The 26,240-nt window shown below is 35.5% G+C and overlaps 1 long non-coding RNA gene across 1 annotated transcript in view; it reads left to right on the top strand.

The window, feature by feature from the left end:
• Nucleotides 1-26,240, top strand: part of LOC101928437 (uncharacterized) — a 477,888-nt gene that overhangs the window by 12,916 nt on the left and 438,732 nt on the right. The window contains exon 2 of the long non-coding RNA NR_110399.2: nt 17,441-17,476. This is a non-coding gene — a long non-coding RNA (uncharacterized LOC101928437). The remainder of the gene's footprint in view (nt 1-17,440; nt 17,477-26,240) is intronic.

The raw sequence follows: 26,240 nt of genomic DNA on the forward strand, positions 1-26,240 counted from the left end.
CTGAAATATACAATGCATTCAAATCACATGAAAGGAGAACATTCTGGGTCTGCATTCACCCTGGCTGTTGCAATGTGAGGGTGGTTGGAGCTCTTCAAGGTATCAAAAAAGTATAATTGCAAAAGAGTGAAATACTTTTGAAAATTTATTGCTCAGTAACTACATTATATATGATGATGTAGGCAATCCCTATACTTTCTCTATAGCAAGATGCTTTTAAGGCTAACGAGGCAAGTTGGTGCATAAAATACATTCATATATAACCTAGTTACTAAGCAATTCTATTTTGAAAATATTTTATTTTTGAATAATATTGAATCTCCTTCCCCTAGTCTATCTTTTTTCCTAGTATTCTAAGGCAAGCCCCATTCCACACCCTAGCTATAAGCTCTCTTTATTCTTTCTCCAATCAAGCTCTTACATACCAAGAAGACATTAAAAATGCAGAGATGAATGTAGGGGGAGTGAGGAAGATGGGACAACACAACCCTGTCTGATTTTTCCTGGTCCCTGCTCCTAGGGAAAATCTTACTGGACAGGTCATGATTAATTTGTGTGGATTTCTAGAAACAACATAAAGTCAAGACATAATAGTCAATATTTTCCTTTTTGACATAAACAACTAATTATTTTACTAGTTTAGTCTAGCTAAAATATGACTGTAATTTAACTTCCAACAATTGGCTACATATCATTACATATCTTGGCTTATCTAATAGCATTCCTAGCTGTGGTATCATCCCAATATCACTAATTGAAAGTCTCAAATTAAAAATTTTTAGAGTTGCACCAATATGAAATGAGACCTAGAAGGCCATACAAGGCATCTGAGGGATATGCAAGGTTAGGTTGTTATGACTGAAAGACTTTCACTTGGATGAATATGGTAAAACTAGGAAATGTTCTAAGTCAGCATTAAAAATGCATGCTTTTTGGAGTTTGAAACACTGGAGAAGAGATTTCTTCTTGTATCTTCTTGATTTTCCTTGTCTTTATAGGTCTAGAAGGGTTGCCAGGATTCACACAGAACTCTGGAGCCTCCAGGGACTTTGGGGGCAACCCGACTTTTTATTTCTCTGCCTTCATAAGAAATCTACACGGAACTGAATGTAATGCTTTTTATTACTTCTAAGATGATTTTTTTCCCAAAAGTTTAATGAGACAGATGGGAGAAATAACTTTTTTCAGAGTAGCAGAGATAAGGGGTTATTTCCTATGTAACTGTCTCAACAAGACTCAAAAGGAAAGAAAAGTTCTGATTTAACTTCAGAAAGGAAAAGTAACTGTCACCTCTTGTTGATTGAATTTCATCATCTGTAATTCTGCCTTCTTTAGTTCTCACAGTCAAAGCAACATTTGTCAAGGAAGTGTAATGTAATAGTTGCTCCTTCTGTGGCCATGGATCAAATGTTAGCTTTCTGTTATGAAGAGAGCTCCAGTGTTCCCAGAATTTCAAAGGCATAAGTTTATCTCAGGTTCTGCAGGAAAGCTTTTTATTTATTTATCAAGGAATCTCTGTAGTAAAGGTTATGAAAATTCATAAAGTACTACGTGTAATATTCTGTCTGCCATGGTAAATAATCTCTTACAAATTTTCACTTGATGGAATAATCTTGAACTAGATTTGCTGTTAATGGAAATATTCTTTTTTTTTTTTTTTTTTTTTTTTTGAGATGGCGTCTTGCTCATCGCCCAGGAAAGGATCAGAAGAACTTTATTATTCACGACTCTTTGTAGAACTCATTAGGACATTGTTTTAACTCTTTATTTTTAATGTACCAGGGTACACTGGTGTGATGTACTGAATAATAGCTCAGTGACCTGGAAATATCATTGTAGTTTAAAATTGGATCTCTTCAGTCTTATAGGTGAGGTTGGCAAAGCTCATCTTTTTGTTTGTTTGTTTAGTTTTTTTGGGATGGAGTCTCGCACTGTCCTCCACGCTGAAGTGCAGTGACGCCATCTTGGCTCACTGCAACCTCTGCCTCTCAGGTTCAAGCAATTCTCCTGCCTCAGCCTCCCGAGTAGTTGGGATTACAGGTGTGCACTGCCACCCCCAGCTAATTTTTTTGTATTTTTAGTAGAGACGGGATTTCGCCATGTTGCCCAGGCTATTCTCAAACTCCTGACTTCAAGTGATTTGCCGGCCTTGGCCTCCCAAAGTGCTGGGATTACAGGCGTGTGCCACCATTCTTTGCCATCACTTTCAATGCTTTTTTTCATTGAAAACATGAACTGTATTTAATGTTGTATGTATTGAAAACATTTGTATGTAATACAAACACTGCATGTAATGTTTTATGTGTTTTCAATGCTTTTTCCCCACTGTAAATTCTTTATATTTAAAGTATGATTAGTTGTGGAATATTTTAAAAATCAATTTCAAGTGCACAGCTTGATAAATTTTGGTAAATTATACAATTTTGTAAACACCACCACAATCAATAAACAAAATGGTTCCATAATCCCACAGAGGTTTCTCATGTTCCTTTAGCTTGATCCCCTTTTCCCATTTCTGGACCCAGGTTTATCTGTTATGTGTCACTATAGCTTTACCCTTTCTAGAAATTTTTATAAATGGAATCATACTATATGAAATGTTTTATGTTTGACTTTTTTTTCCATTTAGCACCAGGTTTCCCAACCTTAACACTATTGACATTTGGGCTGGATAATTCTTTATTGTGAGGAGATGTCCTGTGCTTTATAGAATTTTGAGCAGCGTTTCTGACTTCTACCTACTGAATACCAGTAGTATCCCCTCCAAGTTGTGGCGACTAAAAATGTCTCCAGATATCACCAAGTGTTCCCTGGGGAGCAAAATCATTCCTGGTTGAGAACTACAGACTTACCATATTTTTTAGATGTATTGATGTTGTTGCATGTATCAATAGGTTACTCTTTGTTATTACTGACTAGTAATCCTATGTGGGCAAACATCTGGGTTATTTTCAGTTTGGGAAAATTACAAATAAAGCTTCTAAGAACATTCACATATGCATATTTGTGTGGGTTTATGTTTCCCTTTCTCTTGAGTAAATAGGAGTGGAATTGCTGGGTCATTTGGTGACTCTATGATTACCCGTTTCAGGAACCGCCAGACTGTGTTCCAAATGAGTATGCCATTTTCCATTCTCATCAGCAATGTTCCACATCCTCACTAACATTCGTTTTTCATCAGTTTGATTTGAGCTATCCTCTTGGTTACATAGCGGTATTGCACACAGTGGTATTGCATTGTGGTTTTGATTTGCATTTCTCTGATGACTAACAATGCTGAGCATTTTTTCTTACGTGCTTATTGGTTGTTTGTATATCTTCTTTGTCTTCGTATATTCTTGATACAAGAGCCCTTTGTCAGATGTATGTTTTGCAAACATTTACTCCCAAGCTGTGGCTTATCTTTTTGTTTTCATAGTTCTAGACAGCAAACTTTATTAATCTTGATAGAGTCCATTTCATAATTTTTCCCTTTTATACTTTGTATTATTGATGTCTGATTTAAATAATTTTACCTAACCCAATATCACAAAAATATTCTCATGTGTTTTCCTCTACAGTTTAATAGTTTTAGCTCTTATATTTAGATATATGATCCATTTTGAGTTAATCTTCGTGTATGATGTGCAGTAAGAGTCAAGGTTTATTTTTTCTATGCACCTATATACTTGTCCCAGTACCATTTGTCAAAAAGACTATTTTTCTCCATGAAATTACCCTGACTCATTTGGCAATATTAGTTAACTATATAAGTACAAAAAGTACCATATGCACTGAAAAAAATGTGTATTCTGCCATTTCCATGTGTATTATTTAAATATCAATTAAATTGAAGTGGTTGATAGTTTTGTTCAGATCTAAGGTTTTTGCTGATTTTTTTTTCTGCTTGTTCTATCAATTTCTGAGAACATAGTGTTAAAATCCCCAGTATGATTGAGGAATTACCTGTTTACCCTTTAATTTTGTCAGTTTTGCTTCATACATTTGGAAGCTTTGTTATTGGATGAATACACACTTATGATTGTTATGTCCCATTGAATTTACCTTTTAATTATGGTAATAATATTTTCATCTTTGGTAATGTATTTTGTTTTAAAATGTATTTGGTTGGATATTAGTATAGGTACTCTAGGCTTCTTGTGCTCACTGTTTGCATGGATCCACTTCAAGCTTACTCACATGGCTATTGGCTGAGTCTTCAGTTTCCTACCATGTGGGCCTCTCCATAGAGCTCTCATGACATGCCAGCTGGCTTCCCCCAGAGTGCGTGATCCAAGAGAGAAAGGGTATGAGTCATCAAGATAGATTTTTTTTAAAAAATTATCTTAGTAAGCATTTTTTTGTACTGAAAACTATGAATTTATTTATTTTTAGATTTTTAAATTTTTATTTGGGGGTACAAGTGCAGATTTTTTACATGCACATATTATGTAATGGTGAAGTCTGGGTTTTTAGTGTGCCCATCACCCAAATAGTGAACATTGTACCCAACAGATAAATTTTCAACCATCATCCCCATGATAAATTTTATAACTGAATCTCAGAAGTGCTGTAATTATTTTGACTATATTCTGTTGATCATCCAGACAAACCCTAGTACAATTAGGGACCATTTAAGAGTGCGAATACTAGAAGGTGGGGGTCACTGGGGCTAGCTTGGAGGCTGGATCCTAAAATGGTCTTTGAATACTCGCCTGGATAATGAATTTTATACTTAGAGGTCTTGATTCAAAGAATAATTTCTTTTCTGCCTAATGTTCCTCAGAAGCCCACAGTTGTATCACTCAGTCACTTGTAAGAAGATATTTAATAAACATATACTTACAAAAATTTACACTTTTGACATCCTCAGTATTGTGCTAGAGCCTATATTTGGGAGAAAGGTTTGTAAGAAATGTAAAATTTAACATAGTTTTAGCTATCAAATAAATCAACATTCAGTTGAGACAATATTAACATTTCTCTAATTACCATTAATCTAGTACAGACCCTCATTTTATTTCCCACTGCAGTGACATCTCCACTAATTTCCTTGGTTCCAGACAATGCCCCTTGAATCTCTCCTTTATTTTGCTGTCTGATTTATTTTTTCATAGGTCTGATTGTACAACTCTCTTATGTAAAATATTTGATGTTTCTTTATTTCCTATAGAAAAAAACCCAAATCTAATATCTTTGCAAAGTTATTAAAGATCCTTTAAAAAATCTGACACAAATATTTGTTTCTAGATACATAATTCACCACTTCTCCCACAATGCAAATTATATTGTAGTCTCATTTTTTCTGAAGTGTTTTCTGTAGAACCTTAGCTCTGATAAAGCTCTGTCATTAGCTCTGATAAAAAAAAGTTTCCATGGTCATATAAGTTTGGAAACTACTGCACACTATATTTCCTTCTTAGAAATGTATGCGAATCTGGCCGGGCGCGGTGGCTCACGCTTGTAATCCCAGCACTTTGGGAGGCCGAGGCGGGCGGATCACGAGGTCAGGAGATCGAGACCATCCTGGCTAACACGGTGAAACCCCGTCTCTACTAAAAATACAAAAAAATTAGCCGGGCGTGATGGCGGGCGCCTGTAGTCCCAGCTACTCGGGAGGCTGAGGCAGGAGAATGGCGTGAACCCGGGAGGCGGAGCTTGCAGTGAGCCGAGATTGCGCCACTGCACTCCCGCCTGGGCCACAGAGCGAGACTTCGTCTCAAAAAAAAAAAAAAAAAAAAAGAAATGTATGCGAATCTAATAGTATGTTAAACACTCTTAAAAAATCCTTCAGGCAAGAGGTCTATTTACCATTAATCAATTGTTTCAAAATTTATTTGATCACGAATGTATTTTTAATTTTTAATTTTCATGGGTACATAATAGGTGTGTATATTTATGGGGTACATGAGATATTTTGATACAGGCATACACTGTGTAATAATCACTTCAGGATGAATGGCATATCTATCACCTCAAATGTTTACCCTTTGTGTTACAACAATACAATTATACTCTTTTAGTTATATTAAAATGTACAGTTAAATTATTATTGACTACAGTCACCTTGTTGTGCTATCAAATCCTAGATCTTATTCATTCTTTCTATTTTATTTGTACCCATTAACCATCCTCAATTTTATCCCAGCCTCCAAGTAAATACCCAGCCTCTTAACCATCATTCTACTCTCTATCTCCATGAGTTCACTTGTTTTAATTTTTAGCTCCCACAAATAAGTAAGAATATATGAAGTTTGTCTTTCTGTGCCTGGCTTATTTCACTTCACATAATGACATCCAGTTCCATGCATCTTGTTGCAAATGACAAGATCTAATTATTTTTTATGGCTTAATAGTACTCCATAAGTACCACATTTTCTTTTTTTAAAAAAGTGGGGTACATGAGAAGTTTTGATACAGGCATGCAATGTGAAATAAGCACATCATGGGGAATGGGGGCATCCATCACCTCAAGCATTGTCGTTTGTATTACAAACAACCCAATTACACTCTTTAAGTTATTTTAACATGTGCAATTAAGTTATTATTGACTATAGTCATCCTATTGTGCTATCGAATAGTAGGTATTCATTCTGTGTGTGTGTGTTTCTCTTTTCCTTTTTAACATTTATTTTAAGTTCAGGGGTACATGTGCAGGATGTGCAGGTTTGTTACATAGGTAAATGTGTGTCTTGGAGGTTTGTTGTACGGATTATTTCATCACCCAGGTGTTAAGCCTTGCATCCATTAGTGATATTTTCTAATCCTCTCCCTCCTCCCACTCTCTGCCCTCCAGTAGGCCACAGTGTGCATTGTTCCTCTCTATGTGTCCATGTGCTCTCATGATTTACCTCCTACTTACATGAGAACATGTGGTATTTGTTTTTCTTTTCCTAAGTTAGTTTGCTAAGGATAATGGCCTTCAGCTTCATCCATGTTCCTACAAAAGACATGATCTCATTTTTTTAATGGCTGCATAGTATTCCATGGTGTCTATGTACCACATTTTCTTTATCCAGTCTATCATTGATGGGCATTTAGGTTGATTCTATGATTTTGCTATTGTGAATAGTGCTACAATGAACACACAGATGCATGTATCTTTGTAATAAAATGATTTCTATTCCTTTGGGTATATACCTAGTAATGGGATTGCTGGGTCAAATGGTATTTCTGTCTTTAGGTCTTTGAGAAATCCCCACACTGTTTTCCACAATGACTGAAACAATTTACACTCTTGCCAACAGTGTATAAGCATTTCTTTTTCTCCACTACCTCACCTGCATCTGTTATTAATATTTTTTGACTTTTTAATAATACCCATTCTGACTGGTATGAGATGGTGTCTCATTGTGGTTTTGATTTGCATTTCTCTAATAATCAGTGATGTTATGCATGTTTCATATGCTTTTCAGCTGCATGTATATCTTCTTTTGAAAAGTGTATGTTTATGTCCTTTGCCTACTTTTTATTGGGGTTGTTTGTTTTTTTCTTGTAAATGTGTTAAGTTCCTTATAGATACTGGATATTAGACCTTTGTCAGGTGCATAGATTGCAAAAATTTTCTCCCATTCTGTAGGTTGTCTGTTTACTCTGTTGATAGTTTCTTTTGCTGTGTAGACACTCTTTAGTTTAATTAAATCCCATTTGTCAAAGTTTGCTTTTGTTACATTTGCTTTTGGCAGCTTCATCATGAAATCTTTGCCTGAGCCTATGTTCTAAATGGTATTGCCTAGGTTTTCTTCTAGGGTTTTTATAGTTTGAGGCTTTACATTTAAGTCTTTATTCCATCTTGAGTTAATTTTTGTATATGGTGTAAGGAACGAGTCCAGTTTCAATCTTCTGCATAAAGCTAGCCTGTTCTCCCAGCACCATCTATGAAATAGAGAATCCTTTCCCAATTGCTTATTTTTGTCAGGCTTGTTGCAGATTAGATTGTTGCAGGTGTGTGGTCTTATTTCTGGGTTCTCTGTTCTGTTCCATTGGTCTACGTGTCTATTCTTGTACCAATACCATGCTGTTTTGGTTACTGTAGCTCTGTAGTATAATCAGGTAGAATGATGCCTCCAGCTTTGTTCTTTCTGCTTAGGATTGTTTTGGTTATTTGGGCTCTTTTTTGGTTCGACATGAGTTTTAAAATAGTTTTCTCTAGTTCTGTGAAGAGTGTCAATGGTAGTTTAATGGGAATAGCATTGAATTTATAAATTGCTTTGGGCAGTATATTATGGTCATTTTAACAATACTGATTCTTCCTAGCCATGAGCATGGAATGTTTTTCCATTTGTTTGTGTCACCTCTGATTTCCTCGAACAGTGGTTTGTAGATCTCCTTGTTGAGATCCTTCACTTCCCTTGTTAACTGTATTCATAGGTATTTTATTCTTTTTGTGGCAATTGTGAATGGCATTGCATTGCTGATTTAGCTCTTGGTTTGACTGTTGTGGGTGCATAGGAATGCTAGCAATTTTTACACATTAATTTTGTATCCTGAAACATTGCTGAAGTTGCTTATCAACTTAAGAAGCTTTTGACCTGAGACAATGGGGTTTTCTAGATATGGGATCATGTCATCTGCAAAAAAAGACAGTTTGACTTCCGCTCTTCCTATTTGAATACCTTTATTTCTTTCTCTTGCCTGATTGCCCTGGCCAGACTTCCAATACTATGTTGAATAGGAGTGGTGAGAGAGGGCATCCTTGTCTTGTACTGGTTTTCAAGGGAAATGTTTCCAGCTTTGCCCATCTAGTATGATATTGGCTGTGGGTTTGTCATATATGGCTCTTATTATTTTGTGGTATGTTCCTTCAATACCTAGTTTATTGAGAGGTTTTAACATGAAGGGATGTTGAATTTTATCAAAAGCCTTTTCTGCATCTATTATCATGTGATTTTTGTCTTTAGTTCTATTTACGTGATGAATAACGTTTATTGATTTGTGCATATTGAACCAACCTTGCATCCCAGGGATGAAGCCTACTTGATCATGATGGATTAGCTTTTTGATGTGCTGTTGGATTCGATTTGCAAGTATTCTGTTGAAGATTTTTGCATCGATGTTTATCAATGATATTGGCCTGAAGTTTCTTTTTTGTCATATTTCTGTCAGGTTTAAGCACATTTTCTTTACCCATTTATCTGTTTATGGATGCTCAGATTGCATCCAAATCTTGGCTATTGTGAACAGTGCTGCAACACACATTGGAAGACAGATATTTCCTTGATATAGTGATTTTCTTGCTTTTGGGTACATACCTAGTAGTGGAATTGCTGGATCCTATAGTAGGTCTATTTTTAGTGTTTTAAGGAACCTCCAAACTGTTCTCCATAGTTGTTGTACTAGTTTACATTCCCACCAACCATGTATAAGGATGCCCTTTTCTCCACATCCTCGCCAGCATTTGTTATTGTCTTTCTTTTGGATATAAACCATCTTAACTGGGGTGAGATAACTCACCGTAGTTTTGATTTGCATTTATCTACTGATCAATGATGTTCAGTACCTTTTCATATGCCTGTTTGCTACTTGTATGTCTTCTTTTGAAAAATGTCTATTCAGATCTTTCATCTATTTTTTGATTTAATTATTATATTTTTTTCTTACAGAGTTGTTTAAACTTCTTATATATTCTGGTTTTTAATCCTTTGTCACATGGGTTGTTTGCAAATGTTTTCTCCCATTCTGTGGGTTTTCTCTTCACTTTTTCTTTCTGTGCAGAAGAGTTTTAAATTAACATGATCCCATTTGTTCATTTTTGCTTTGGTTGTCTGTACTCGTGGGGTATTACTCAAGAAGTCTTTGCCCAGTCCAATGCCCTGGAGAGTTTTTCCAATACTTTTTTATAGTAGTTTTGTAGCTTAAGATCTTAGATTTAAGTCTTTAATCCATCTTGATTTGATTTTTGTATATGGCAAGAGATAGGTGTCTAGTTTAATTTGCCTGCATGTGGATATCCATTTTTCCCAGCATCATTTATTGAAGAGACTCTCTTTTCCCCTCTGTAGATTCTTGGCACCTCTGCCAAAAATGAGTTCACTGTAGGTGTGTGGATTTGTTCTTGGGTTCTCTATTCTGTCCCATTGGTCTATGCATCTGTTTTTATGCCAGTACCATGCTGTTTTAGTTACAATAACTCTGTAGTATAATTTGAAGTCAGTTAATATGGTTCCTTCAGTTTTGTTCATTTTTCTTATGATAGCTTTGGCTATTCTGAATCTTTTGTGATGCCACATAAATTTTAGGATTTTTTTTTATTTCTGTGAAGAATATCAATGGTATTTTGATAGAGATTACATTAAATGTGTAGATTGCTTTGGGTAATATGGACATTTTAACAATGTTGATTCTTCCAATTTAGGAACATGAAATATATTTTCATTTTTTGTTTCTCCTTCAATTTCTTTCATCAGTGTTTTATAGTTTTCATTGTATAGACCTTTCATTTCTTTAATTAGTCCCCAGGTAATTAATTTTCTTTTTGTTTACTGTAAATGAGATTAGTTTTTTTTAAAATTATACTTTAAGTTTTAGGGTACATGTGCACAACGTGCAGGCTTGTTACATATGTATACATGTGCCATGTTGGTGTGCTGGACCCATTAACTCTTCATTTAACATTAGGTATATCTCGTAATGCTATCCCTCCCCCCTCCCCCGACTCGAGATTAGTTTTTTAATTTATTTTTCTGATTCTTCCCTGTTGGCATATAGAAATGCTACCGGTTTTTGTATGTTGATTTTGTATTCTGTAACTTCACTGGATTTGTTCATCAGTTCGAATTGTTTTTTGGTGGAGTCTTTAGTTTTTTCCCAAATATAAGGTCTTGTCATCTGCAAACAAGGAAAATTTGACTTCCTTTTCAATTTGGATATACTTTATTTCTTTCTTTTGTCTGATTGCTCTAGCTAGGACTTCCTGTACTATGTTGAATAACAGTGGTGAAAGTGGGAATGCTCGTTGTGCTCGTTGTCTTCCAAATGTTAGAGAAAAGGAGTTTAGTTTTTGCCATTCAGTATGACACTAGCAGTGGGTCTGTCACATATGACTTTAATTATGCTCAGGTATTTTTCTTCTATACCAAGTTTTTCTTTAGGGTTTTTATTATGGAGAGATGTTGAATTTGATCACATGCTTTCTCAGAATCAATTTAAATGATCATAAGGAGCTGGGCATGGTGGCTCACAACTGTAATCCCAGCACTTTGGGAGGCTGAGGCAGGTGGATCACCTGAGGTCAGGAGTTCGAGACCAGCCTGGCCAACATGGCAAAACCCCGTCTCTACTAAAAATACAAAAATTAGCTGGGTGTGGTGGTGCATGCCTGTAATCCCAGCTACTCTGGAGGCTGAGGCAGGAGAATCACTTGAACCCGGGAGGTGGAGGTTGCAGTGAGCCGAGATTGCACCATTGCACTCCAGCCTGGGCAACAAGAGAGAAACTCTGTCTTACTAAAAAAAAGAAAGAAAGAAAGAAATGATCATAATGTTTTTATTCCTCATTCTGTTTATATGATACATCACATTGATTGATCTCTATATGTTGAATCGCCCTTGCATCCCAGGGATAAGTCCCATTTGGTCATGATGAATGATCTTTTTAATGTTTGTTTAATTTGGTATAGTGATATTTTGTTGAGGATTTTTGCATCAATATTTATCAGAGATACTTTAGTTTTTTTTTTATTTTGATGTGTCTTTTTCTTGTTTTGGTATCAGGATAATACTGGCCTTGTAGAATGAGTTTGGAAGTATTCTCTCTTCTATTTATTAGAATAGTTTGAGTAAGATTGGTATTGGTTGTTCTTTAAATGTTTGATAAAATTCAGCAGTGAAGCTATTGCATCCTGGGCTTTTCTTTACTGGGAGGCTTTTTATCATGGCTTTGATTTTATTACTTATTATTTATCCTTTTAGGTTTTAGATTTCTTCATCTTTCAATTTTGGTAGGTTCTATGTATCTAAAAATTTATCCATTTCCTCTAGATTTTTCAATTTATGACATATAGTTGCTCATAGTAGTCACTAATGATCCTTTGAATATCTGTGCTATGAGTTGTAATGGCTCCCTTTTCATTTCTGATTTTATTTATTTGGGTCTTCTCTCTTTTTTTCTTAGTCTGGCTAAATGTTTGCCAATTTTGTTTATCTTTTCAAAAAAAACTTTTCATTTCATTGATCTTTTATATTGTTTTCTTTGCTTTAATTTCATTTATTTTTTTCTCATCTTTATTTATTTTTATCTACCAATTTTGGGTTAGTTTGCTCTTCCTTTTGTAATTCTTTTAGGTGCATTGTTAGGTTATTTATCTGAAGGTTTACTACTTTTATAGTGTTGGAACTTATGGCTATAAACTTCTCTTTTAGTGGTTCTTTTGCTGTATCCTATAGACTTTGGTAAGTTGTGTTTCCATTATGATTTGTTTCAAGAAATTTTCAAATTTATTTTTAATTCCTTTATTGACTTACTGGTCATTCAGGAGCATATTGTTTAATTTCCATTTTTTTTTTTTTTTTTTTTTTTTTGAAACAGGGTCTCACTTTATCACTCATGCTGGAGTATGTTGGCATGATCTCAACTCACTGCAACTTCAACCTCCCAGGTTAAAGTGATACTTCTTCCTCAGCCCCCTAATTAGTTGGGACTACAGGTGTGCACCACCACGCCCTGCTTATGTTTGTATTTTTTGTAGACACGGGGTTTTGCCATTTTGCCCAGGCTGGTCTTGAATTACTGAGCTCAGGCAATTCTCCTGCCTTGGCCTCCCAAAGTGCTAGGATTACAGGTGTGGAGCCACCATGCCTGGCCTCCATGTGTTTGTTATTGACCTCTAGTCTTATCCTACTTTGGCCAGAGCAAATACTTGATTATTTATTTTTTTTGAATGACTTAAAACTTGTTTTGTTGCCTAGTGTATGGTCTATCCTTGACAATGATCCATGTGCCGAGGAGAAGTTTGCATATTCTGTAGCCATTGGATTAAATATGTTGTAAATATCTGTTAGTTCCATTTGGCTGATAGATTAAGTCAAATGTTAGTTGATTTCCTGTGTGGATTGTCTGTTCAATGCTGAAAGTGAGGTGTTGAAATCTCCAGCTATTATTGTATTAGGGTCTGTCTTTCTGTTTAGCTCTAATAATATTTGCCTTATATATCAGGGTGCTCCAGTGTCACCATATGTGTGTGTGTGTGTATATATATATATGTAGATATATATATACACAATTATTATATCCTCTTGCTGAAATGATGCCCTTATCATTATATAATTCTCTTCTTTGTCTCTTTATTTATTTATTTATTTTGAAATCTATGGTGTCTGATATAAGTATAGCTACTGCTGCTTTTCTTTTTTTGGTTTCCATGGAATATCTTTTTCTATTTCTTTATTTTCTGTCTATGTATGTCTTCATAAGTGAAGTGTGTTTCTTGTAGGCAACAGATCTTTGGGTCTTTATTTTTTATTCATTCAGCCACTCTGTCTATTTAGTCCATTTACATTCAGCATTATTATTGATAAGTAAGGACTTACTCCTGCCATTTTGTTATTCTTTGTTTTCTGGTTGTTTTGTTGTCTCCTCTACTTTCTTTCCTTCCTTCCTGTCTTCTTTTTAGTGAAAGTGATTTTCTCTTTAGTATGTTTTAATTTCTTTCTTTTTATTTTTTATGTGCCTGGTTTGGATTTTTTGATTTGAAGTTACCATGAGATTTGCAAATAACATCTTATAACACGTTATTTTAAACTAATGACAACTTAACACTAATTGCATAAACAAACAAACAAACAACCAAAGAGGAAATTAATAAAACCTCTACACCTTAATCCCCCCAATTTTAACTTATTGTTGTTTCCATTTATATCTTATTGTTCTATGTCTTTAAAAATTGTTGTAGTTCTTATTTTTGATAGGTTCATCTTTTAGTCCTTCTACAGAAGATATGAGTAGTTTCTATATCACAATTACAGTGCTATAATATTTTGTGATTTTCTTTGTATGTACTGTTACCAGTGAGTTTTGTATCTTCAGGTGATTACTTATTGCCCATTATCATTCTTTCTTTTTAGATTAAAAAACTCCCTTTAGCATTTCTTGCAGGACAGATCTGATGTTAGGGAAATCCCTTAGGTTTTGTTTGTCTGGAAAAGTCTTTATTTCTCCTTGATGCTGGAAGGATAATTTTGCTGGTTATACAATTCTAGGATGAAAGATTTGTCCTTCAGCACTTTAAATATGTCATATCACTGTCTCCTAGCCTGTAAACTTTCAACTGAGATGTCTGCTGCCAGATGTATTGGAGCTACATTGTATGTTGTTTGTTTCTTTTCTCTTGCTGCTTTTAGGATCCTTTTTTAATTCTTGACCTTTGGCAGTTTGATTATTAAATGTCTTGTGGTAGTCTTCCTTGGGTTAAATCTCCTTGGTGTTCTATAACTTTCTTGAACTTGAATATTGATATCTTTCTCTAGGTATGGGATGTTCTCTGTTATAATCCCTTTCAATAAAATGTTTACCCATATTTCTTTTTCTACCTACTTTTTAAGGCCAGTACATCAGATTTCCCCTTTTATGGCTATATTCTAAATCATGTAGGCATGCTTTATTATTTTTTTAAATTTTGCTTCCTCTGAGTGTTTATTCAAATAGGCTGTCCTTCAAGCTCACTAATTCTTTCTTCTGTTTGATCAATTCTATTATTAAGAGACTTTGACACATTCTTTAGTATGTCATTTGCATTTTTCAGCTGCAGAATTTCTCCTTGATTCTTTTTAATTATTTTAATCTCTTTGTTAAATTTATCTGATAATTTTCTGATTTTGACTGGGCATGGTGGCTCATGCTTAAAATCCCAGCATTTTGGGAGGCCAAGGTGGGCAGAGCACTTGAGGCCAGAAGATTGAGACCAGCCTGGCCAACATGGTGAAACCTCATCTCCACTAAAAATACAAAAATTAGCTGGCCATGGTGGTGCACACCTGTAATCTCAGCTACTCAGGAGGCTGAAGCAGGAGAATTGCTTGAGCCCGGGAGGTGGAGGTTGCAGCGAACAGAGATTGTGCCACTGCACTCCAGCCTGGGCAACAGAGAGAGACTCTGTCTCAAGATAAATAAATAAAATAAAATAAGTTTCTGAATTTCTTCTCTGTGTTACCTTGAATTATGTTGAATTTTCTCAACACAGCTATTTTGAGTTTTCTGTTGAAGATCACCTATCTCTGTTTTTACAGGATTGATCCTTGGTACCTTACTTAGTTAATTTAGTGAGGTCATGTTTTATTGGATCATCTTGATGCTTGTGGATGTTTGTAGGTATCTGGGCATTGAAGAGTTAAGTCTATATTGTAGTCTTTGCAGCCTGGACTTGTTTGTACCCATCCTTCTTGGGAAGGCTTCCCAGGTATTAGAAGGGACTGGAGTGTTTTAATCTAAGTTTTTGGTCTTTGCAGCTGTATTTGCATTAGGGGTAACAATAAGCTCAGTAATGCTGTGTCTGTTATAGACTTGTAGAGGTAACTCCTTGGTGGTCTTGAATAAGTCCCAGAAGAATTCTCTGGATTACCAGGTGGAGACTTTTGTTCTCTTTCTTTACATTTTCCTTAACAGAGCTTCTCTCTGTGTGCTGGGCTGCCTGGAACTGGTGGAGGGGTGACACAAGCAGCCCTGTAGCCACCACCACTTAGACTACAGTAGGTCAGACCTGAAGCCAGTATAGTAGTGGGTTTTTCACAAGACCTGCTGTAACTACTGCCTGGCTACCACCTATGTAAGCCCCACTGCTCTACAATCAGTGGGTCACAAAGCCACTCAGATTTGTGTCCTTCCCTTCAGGATAGTGAGTTCCCTGCAAACCCCAGGTGGATCTAGAGATGTTATCCGGGAGCCAGGGCCTGGAGATGGAAACCTTAAGAATCTACCTGGTGCTCTGTTCTATTGCCACTGAGCTGGCACCCAGGGCACAAAACAAAGTCCTCCCCCCATCTTCCCTTCTCTTTCCACAAGCAGAAGAGTCTCTTCCTTTAGTCACAATCACTTTAGGTCCACAGTGAGTACTGCCTGGCTACCGTTGATTTTCACTCAAGACCCAAAGGCTCTTCAGTCAGTTTGTGGTAAATGTTGCCAGGCCTGAGACTCATGCTTCAGGAAAGTGGGCTCTCCTCTGGCTCAGGAAATGTCCAGAAATGCCATGCAAGAGGCAAGGCCTAGAATCAGGGACCCCAGAGCCTACTTGATGTTCTACCTGACTGTAGCTGAGCTGGTACCTAAGCTGCAGGACCATATCTCCTTACTTTTCCCTTTCTTTTTTCTAAAGCATGAGTCTCTTCCCATAGCCACCACAGCTAAGAATGTGCTGGGTCACATTTGAATCCAGTACACCTCTGAGTCTCACTAAATGCCCAAGGTGGAGTACGGCCTGGGTATCCCTGCTGATTATTTAGGGCCTAAAGGTTTTTTAGTCAGCAGGTGATGAATTGTGCCAGGATTGGATCCTTCACTTCAAGGCAGTAGGTTCCCTTGTGGCTTAGGGAGTATCTAGAAATGTCTGGGATCTAGGTCTTAGAATGGAAGCCTCAGAACCCTGCCTTGTGCCCTATGCTACTGTTGCTGAGCTGGTACACAAGATGCAAGACAAAGTCCTCGTTACCTTTACCTCTCCTCTCCTCAAGCAGAGGGATGGAGTCTCTCCCAGAGTTGCAAGCTGGGCCCCTTGGGGTTGGGAGAGGGGTAGCACAAGCACTCCCTTGGCTACCCCAGCTGGTGTCTTACTAGATTGCATTCCCATCCAGTCCACTTGCTCCAAGCCCAGCAAAGCAATAGGAATTGCCCAAGGATTGCAGTGCTTGTGGCCTAGACTGCCTTTCAAGTTTATTTCAGACCCCAGAACCCTTTAGCCTGTGGTGGTGAGGCTTTCAGGAAATGAGGTTCTGACTGCTAGGATGGATGATTCCCCTCTGGCTAGGGCTAGTCGAAGTGCTCCTTCTATGGGTGTTGGCCGAGTTCTGCCCAGTGTTTCTTTCCTCTGTGACATGGCAGAACTGAGTTTCAATGCAAAGTCCCACAATCACTGAGCTCTCCCTCCACCAAGTGCACAGAATCTTTCTCCGTGACACATGACCATTGCTGGGTGATGAGGGAGGGGTGGTGTCCATAATTTAAAACTGTCTTTCTGATCCTCTTTAGTCTGATTTCAGTGATATGAAGTTAAAAACCAGGTACTGTGAGTGCTTACCTGATTTTTTGGTTCTTATGAAGGTGCTTTTTTGTGTGAACATTTTTTCAATTTCATGTTTCTATGGGGAGGACCATTGGTGAAAGCTTCTATCTTGCTCTGCCTCCTGCCATATGAAAACAATTTTTGAAGACAGTCTTTTAACCTCTTGCATAAGACTTTCTCATGGAACACAATTTGGAAAGTGCTGCTCTGTTGCACTGGACTACTTGCAAATTCCAGAATATTTGTGTTTTACAGATGTTTTTTGCACAAGGTAGAAGATGGGTGCATCTGGTAAGTCATACTTAGAAGTAGAAATCCTACAATACCTTTTCCCCTCTTACTAACTCAGAAAACTTACATATTCATGTAAGCCTAGCTGCTCATGTTTAATCTTCTATAATACCTCTGTCATGCCTTACATTTTTCTGTAAGGCAGAATTAACTGATTGTTCCTTTATGTTGTCACAGTACATTGCTTATAGCCCTTTAATATTACTTCTCACATTTTGAGTGTCTGCCTGCCTTCCCTGGGTAGACATTGTGGGCTTCTTGAGGAAAGGGGTCATATCTTGTGCACTTTTCTATCTTGAGTGCCTAGCACAGTGCCAGGCATTTCAGAGGCATAGTCAGTTAACATTCATTAAATATACATAAAATCATTATCCCAATGTAAGTCCTTATGTAAAAAGACTGAACTATATACTACACACTAAGTGCTACTAGAATTCAAAAAATGAACTCAATGAGGAATGGAATAATTAAGAAAAGTTTCATAGAAGAAGTGAGTCATGAACTAGAATTTGAAAGATGAATAGGATTTGAGCAAGATAAACCCTCTAAATGAAGACAGTGGCAGAGGCAGTGCCAATCCTGGTATTTTAGTGGCCTAATAAGAGAAAATAGTGTATGCTGAGGAGTAGAAAAAGTTAAGGTTGAGTAGTTAGAATGATAACATCATAAAAAGCTTTGAATGCCAAGTATAATAGTTTAATGGCTGTTGATTAAAGGATTAAGTCAGGATGAAAGCAGAATTTAGCAGAGATTAAACAAAAACATGTATTCATTTAAATTAAGGTCTCTGTTCATTATTAGAGTCACCTACCCTTGTGTTTGCTCATTGATCTCTGCAATTTACATATATAAAGTATTAAATGTCATTTTTGAATTCATAACAGAAAATTTGTGATTTATAGATGAAGTGTTATCTTGAAAGCAGAATCTTTCTCCTTTTCCAAAATATCTTTTTTTCTTATAACATGTTTCTCTGTGGAACTATAAACATAGTCCTCATAAACTCAAGCACTAGAGGTGACCCTTGTTCCTGGGCATTAATCCAAGTTCTCTGGTTTTTACACCTTGAAATTTAGATGGAGTTATTTCAACCCATTGGAGAAAATCATTCCTAAGCAAAGAAGCAAAATTATTTTTTTAATTAGCATTCATTTTTCTTTAGTTCTAACTCATTAAAATAGTGTGAAATTAGTTTGAAGGCCATCATATTGAGTTTTTAGTATACCTATTGTCAAAAGATTTTTTTCCTCTTAATGAGATTGTAAGTTTCAGGAGAATATTTTAAATCTAATAATTGAATTTTGGATTGACTTATTTCAGGAATATATTTTGTAAACTTTTCTGAGTTCTATTAAATGAAGTTCTGAAACATTTTCAATCTAAGTTCCACTTTGTTGGAACAGGTGAATCCAAACCTGCTTGCTTATTTCTAAATCAAACTTCTAGTTTTGATATATCTTTAAAGTATATTATTAAGAAATTTTTCAATACTATAAATGAACAAGAATGGTCACAGAAGAAAAATTTAATGTGTACTTTACGTAGTTTTAAATTATAATATATATTAGAAATATAAGATAAACCTGTAGTGGTAATGTTTTTTCTTCGGACTTGTGTCTTTGGTTTGTTTAAGAACTTAATGTTATGTAAGAATATTTTTCATATTTTGCAATATTTTTCACTAATTCTGTTCAATATTGGAGATTTAATTATACATGATGCTTAAGACAGCAAGTAAAAGATTATGTGTTCAGTAATGTGTCCTTAAAATATCATCTTTCTAAGTAATTATTTAAATTTACTATTTTGAACATCAATGAATAATAAATTACCAACTTCAAATAAGACCCTGCTACATTCACATATATATATTTATTTACATAGGCACAGGTTTCTCCTTTATTGTGATCTACATGCTATTAATAATAAAAATATATTACTGACTGTATCATAGCTCATAAGAAATGAATGGTAAGCACATTATAATCATTGTTGAATTTATGTTAATTGAATATTTTGTGAGAATAGTACAGCTCAGTAAATACATTTCCAAGAATAACATATTAAGAACTTATGAGCTCTCTTAAGACACAATGAAGGTGCCTTTGTATACAATGAACATATTCAATATTACAGTGCTGTTGAAACTTCATTTCTGGCTTAGGAAACAGCAATTCCTTCCCAGTAATTACAAACTTGGTATAAAATCGCTATTTCAAAACTTTCCAAGTAATGAATTTTTTGACTCAATGAACAAACTTGGAATTGAAATTTTTATAATCTGACAATTGATAATTTCAACAGAGGTCTTGATAAAGTGTCTCAAAGAAAGTATTCATATGCAAATGTTGCAATTTAGCTTATTTGGATATTCATTGCTCTATTAATTTTATATCTAAGAAAATAAACTTGCTACACTTACTAAACAAAAATTAAACTTTACTTTGTCAGGAAGATGGTTTGTTGCCAACAAGAAAGCCCCTTCTGGACTATCATATTGAAAACAATTACTTTAGAGAAAATAAGTTGGAAAGAATCCTAATCCACTTAACCTTGTCTCACAAAGAGGAATTTATTCTTTTTTTTTCTCTTTTCTTTTTTGCTAAACTGCATCTGGAAGTGCTGAAGTTTCTTATTCATATGAAATGGGCAATTAGGGTTTCTCATTCAGTCACAAAACTAAAGATCAGAGATCTTCACCAATGTCTTGCCTCAAGCAGAGAAGTTGGATCAGTAATTTTCAAGTTTCTATTTGTGTGATAATATTACCCTTTAAATCAAAATGGCAAAAGTAACCTTAATTTTTTTAGATAATCATTTTAATACAGTTTAATACCTACCACTTGGAAGAAACATTAAAAATAAGCTGTTTTAAATAGTCTCAGTTACATAGTTCTTAATTTAAGGTATAACATATAGATGTACAATTTAGCCAGAGAAAAACAGTATTTCAACAAAATTAGGAGAAAATGTCCCCCCTGCATTATTATAAAATATAATTAGTTTCAAAATTATTTAAACCAAACTGGACATTTAAAGTATATTTTAAAAACATAGCTTTTGGCAATTAGGTAAGAAAAAAGATATAAAAGGCTTACAGATTGGAAAGGAAGAAGTAAAATTATCCCCATTCAAGCATGACATAATCTTATATAGAGAGAATCATTAAAATTATCCCCCAACACACAAAGCACTATAGCATTAATAAATGAGTTCAGCAAAGTTTCAGAATCCAAGATCAATATGCAAAATGTGTTGTATTTCTATACATTAACAATGAACAACCCAAAAGTGAAATGAAGAAAACAATTCTATTTACAATAGCATCAAAAAGAATAAAATACTTAAAAATAAATTTAAACAAGGAGATGTGAGATGTGTACACTGACCATTACAAAACATTATTGAAAGGAATTAAAGAACAATATAAATGGAGAGACAACTAATGTTCATGGATCGAAAGAGTCAATATTGCTAAAATGGCAAAATTGATATACAGATTAAATAAAATCGCTCTTAAAAATTCTAATTGCTTCTTTTGCAGAAACAAATGGGCTGATCCTAAAATTCACATAGAAATGGCAGGACCCCTGAATAGCCAAAACAATCTTGAGAAAGAACAAAATTGGAGGACTCACAGCTACAGCACTAAATACTGTGGTATTGCTATAAGAATAGACATTTATTTATTTATTTATTTATTTTTGAGACAGAGTCTTGCTCTGTCACCTAGGCTGGAGTGCAGTGGCACAATCTCAGCTCACTGAAACCTCTGCCTTCCAGGTTCAAGTGATTCTTCTGCTTCAGCCTCCTGAGTAGAAGGGATTACAGGTGTGTGCCATGATGCCAGGCTGATTTTTGTGTTTTTAGTAAAGACAGTGTTTTGCCATGTTGGCAAGGCTGGTCTCAAACCCCTGACTTCAAGTGATCCACCCACCTCAGCCTCCTAAAGTGCTGAGATTACAGGTGTGAGCCACCATGCCTGGCCAAGAGTAGAGATTTAGATCATTGGAATGGAATTGAGAATTCAGAAATAAACCCATATACCTATGGTCAATTAGTATTTGACAAGGGTGCCAAGCTCCTTCAATGGGCAAAGAATAGGCTTTTCAACAAATGATTCTGGGAAAACTGCATATTCACATGCTAAAGAATAATGTTGGATCATTACCTCACAACATGTACAAAAATTAGCTCAAAATGGATTATAGACCTAAATAAAATGGCTAAAACTATAAAATCTTTAGAAAGAAATTATAGGTAAAAATATTTGTTACCTTGAATTAGGCAATGGTTTCTTAAATATGACCCCAAAAGCACAAACAACAGAAGAAAAAAAAGATATATTAGACTTAATAAAAATTACAGACATTTGTGTATCAAAGCAGACTATCAGGGAAATGAAAAGATAATTCACAAAATAGGAGAAAACATTTGCAAATCATATTTGAAAAGGGCCTAGCATCCAAAATATATTTTAAAAGTTTTACAACCTGATAACAAAACACAAATAAATCAAATAAAAAATGAACATAGAGGTAGAAGAGACATTTTGCTAAAAAAAGATTCATAAATGGCCAAAAAGCACATGAAAAGATACTCAATATCACTAGTCATTAGGAAAATGTAGGTCAAAACCACAATCAGGTACCATGTCACGCCTATTTGGTTGTCTGTAACTTAACAATTTAGAAAATTACAAGCGTTGGTAAGGATGTAGAAAAATTGGAATTCTTGTATATTGGTAATGTAAAATGATTCAGCTGCTATGGAAACCAGTTTAGCAGTTTCTCAAAATTTTAAACATATAGTGACCATATGACCCAGTAATCTCACTTTTGGCTAAGTACCCAAGAAAATTGAAAACATATGTTCAAATAAATATATGTGCACAAACTTTTTTGCATCATTATTTATAATAGCCCCAAAGTAGAAACAACCCAAATGTCCATCCACTAATGAGTTGATAAACAAAATATGGCATATCTACACAATGGAATACTATTCAGCCATAAAATGAAATGAAGCACTGATCAACATGCTACAACATAAGATAACTCTTCAAAACATTATGCTAAGTAAAATAAGCTAGACAAAAAAGACCATAGACTATGATTCCATTTATATAAAGTATTCAGACTGAGCAGAACCATGGAGATAGAAAGTTGTTAGTGTTTGCCAGGGGTTAGAGAGAGGAGAGAATTGGAATTGACTACTACCAGGTATAGGGTTTCTTTTTATGGTGATGAAAATGTTCTGTTATTAGATAGTGATAATGGTGGGACAATATTTTGAATGTATATAATGGTTGCACATTATTGTAAATATATTAAAAACACTGAATTGTACACTTTAAGTTATTTAAATGGTAAATTTGTGTTGTGGAAATTTTATCTTAATAAAAACACTTGAAAAAATATTTTCTGGCTTTTACTGGTATTATGGAAATTCATTGAACTTAATCTCTAAACTACGAGGAGGCAAAGTCTAGAAAATGTTCATTAAATGTGATTCAAACAAATGTTATAAGGCAATCAAGGAAACCTAACTTTTGGAATGGCAATGTGAAGAGCTCAAAAAATTCCATGAAACGACATCTATTAAAGTAAAAATTAGCAAATACAGTCACCCAAAGTCTCTGAAGATTGACCAGAAGGTTTAAAATAAACAAGCTTTATTCAACAAAATCTATGAAAATGCTAAGAACACTGGGAGAGCATGAAATTTTACTCAGGAACTACACCCATATTCTTATACCTCTGCATTGTGGAAAAGTTTTTTAAGTAGATTTAACAGCCAAGAGGTATTTACTGTCTCTCTGACCTTTGATACCAATGGTGTCACTGGAGACCAAATGAAGAGTTTGGACTTCTACCACAACCTGGCAGTAATTAGGTTTTCCTCCCACTCCCAGCTGTGGTGCTATCAGAGGAGGCCTGGTGGAGAGTCAGTACGTTCACCCTCACCCAGAAATAATAAAATCACCCCCAAAGTGGTGTCATCAAAGACCACGTGGGGAGTTAGAACTTGCATCCTTATCCAGCAGTAATGAGGACACCCTTCAAGGATCAACAGATGTTGACTGGAGAACATGGACTCCTACTTTAACCTGGTAGTAACAAGGCAACATCACATCTCCAGCCAGAACCACGTCAAAGAAAAACAGCTAAAGTAGAAGATTTAAATAACACCCAGTGTTTCATAACATAATACAAAAATATGCATGTTTCAATAAAAAATTAGTCATCATATCAAAACCAGAATGATCTCAAACTGAGTGAAATACAATCAATTCATATCAACCTCAAGATGTTGACAGGTTAAAATTATTTCACAAAAATTTTAAATAAGCTGTCATAAATATACTTCAATGAAAAATGTCAAACATGCTTGAAACAAAATAATGGAAAGCCTCAGGGAAAAAAAAAACAGATAGTCTTGGAAATAATTAGAACATATATAAAGGAATCAAATGGAGATTTTAGGGATGAAAGTTATCATGACTTAATTAAAAAGTTCAGTAGATGGCCTCAACAGCAGAAGAGAGGGAACAGAAGATAGCATTAGTAAATAGAAAAATAGAACAGCAGATATTACCTTATCTGAAGAACAAAGAGAAAATAAACTGAAAAAAACTAGAACAGATCTACATGAACCTGTGGGATCATTCCTAAATCATTCTATGTGGCCAGGATCACCCTAAGACCAACACCAGGAAAGGACATAACTAAAAAAGAAAACTATAGACCAATATCCCAACGTAAACGCAAAAACCCTTAACAAAATACTAGCTAACTGAATCCAACAACATATCAAAAAGAGAATCCACCATGATCAAGTGGGTTTCATAGCAGGGATTCAGGGATGGCTTAACATACACAAGGTAATAAATGTGATACATCACATAAACAAAATTAAAAACAAACATCACATGATCATCTCAATAGATGCAGAAAAAGCTTTCAACAAAATCCAGCATTCCATTATGATTAAAACTCTCATCAAAATCAGCATACAAGGGACATACCTCAATATAATAAAAGCCATGTATGACAAACCCACAGCCAACATAATACTGAATGGGAAAAAGTTGAAAGCATTCCCTCTGAGAACTGGAGCAAGATAAGGATGCCCACTCTCACCATTCCTCTTCAACATAGTACTGGAAGTCCTAGCCAGAGCAATCAGACAAGAGAAAGAAATAAAGGGCATCCAAATCGGTAAAGAGGAAATCAAACTGTCACTGTTTGCTGATGATATGATTGTATACCTAGAGAACCCTAAAGACTCCTCCAGAAGGCTCCTAGAACTGATAAAAAACAATTCAGCAAAGTTTCTGGATACAAAATTGATGTACACAAATCAGTAACTCTTCTATACCCCAACGGCAACCAAGCTGAGAATCAAATAAAGAACTCAACCCCTTTTACAATAGCTGCAAAAAAAAAAAAAAAGGAATTTACATAACAAAGGAGGCAAAAGACCTCTACAAGGAAAATTACAAAACACTGCTGAAAGAAATAATAGGCAACACAAACAAATGGAAACACATCCCATGCTCATGGATGGGTAGAATCAATAATGTGAAAATGAGCATACTGTGAAAAGCAATCTACACAATCAATGCAATTCCCATCAAAATATCACCATCATTCTTCGCAGAACCAGAGAAAACAATCATAAAGTTCATATGAAACCAAATAAGAGCCTGCATAGGTAAAGCAAGACTAAGCAAAAAGAAGAAAGCTGGAGGCATCACATGACCTGACTTCAAACTATACTATAAGGCCATAGTCACCAAAACAACATGGTACTTGTATTAGTTTATTTTCATGCTGCTGATAAAGACATACCTGAGACTGGGCAATTTACAAGAGAAAGATGTTTAATGGACTTACAGTTCCACATGGCTGGGGAGGCCTCACAATCATGGCAGAAGGCAAGGAGGAGCAAGTCACATCTTAAGTGGATGGTGGGAGGTAAAGAGAGAGAGCTTGTGTAGGGAAACTCCTCCTTATAAAACCATCAGATCTCATGAGACTTATTCCCTATCATGAGAACAGCATGGGAAAGTCCTGCCCTCATGATTCAATCACCTCCTACTGGGTCCCTCCCACAACACATGGGAATTCAAGATGAGATTTTGGTGGAGACACAGCCAAACCATATCATTCTGCCCCTGGCCTCTTCCAAATCTCATGTCCTCACATTTCAAAACAAATTATGTGTTCCCAACAGTCCCCCAAAGTCTTAAATCATTTCAGCATTAACTCAGAAGTCCTTAGTCCAAAGTCTTATCTGAGACAAGGCAAGTTCTTTCTGCCTGTGAGCCTGTAAAATCAAAACAAGTTAGTTACTTCCTAGATACAATGGGGCTACAGGCATTGGGTAAATACAGCCATTCCAGATGGGATAAATTGGCCAAAACAAATGGGTCTGTTTTCTCTTTTTTCTTCAGATAAGGTAATATCTACTTTCTTATCTTCCTGTTTACTAATGCTATCTTCTGCCCCTGCAATTCTGCTGTTGAGGCCATCTACTGAACTTTTTAATTAAGTTACGGTAACTTTCTACTTTTTAAAAATTTTTTATTTCCGTAAGTTATTGGGGAACAGGTGGTGTTTGGTTACATGAGTAAGATCTTTAGTGGTGATTTGTGAGGTTTTGGTACACCCATCCTCCGAGCAGTATTCACTGCACACAATTCATAGTCTTTTATCCCTCACCCTTTTCCCACCCTTTCCCACTGAGTCCCCAAAGTCCA

Source organism: Homo sapiens, chromosome X (genome assembly GCF_000001405.40).
Source record: "Homo sapiens chromosome X, GRCh38.p14 Primary Assembly".
Taxonomy (NCBI): domain Eukaryota; kingdom Metazoa; phylum Chordata; class Mammalia; order Primates; family Hominidae; genus Homo; species Homo sapiens.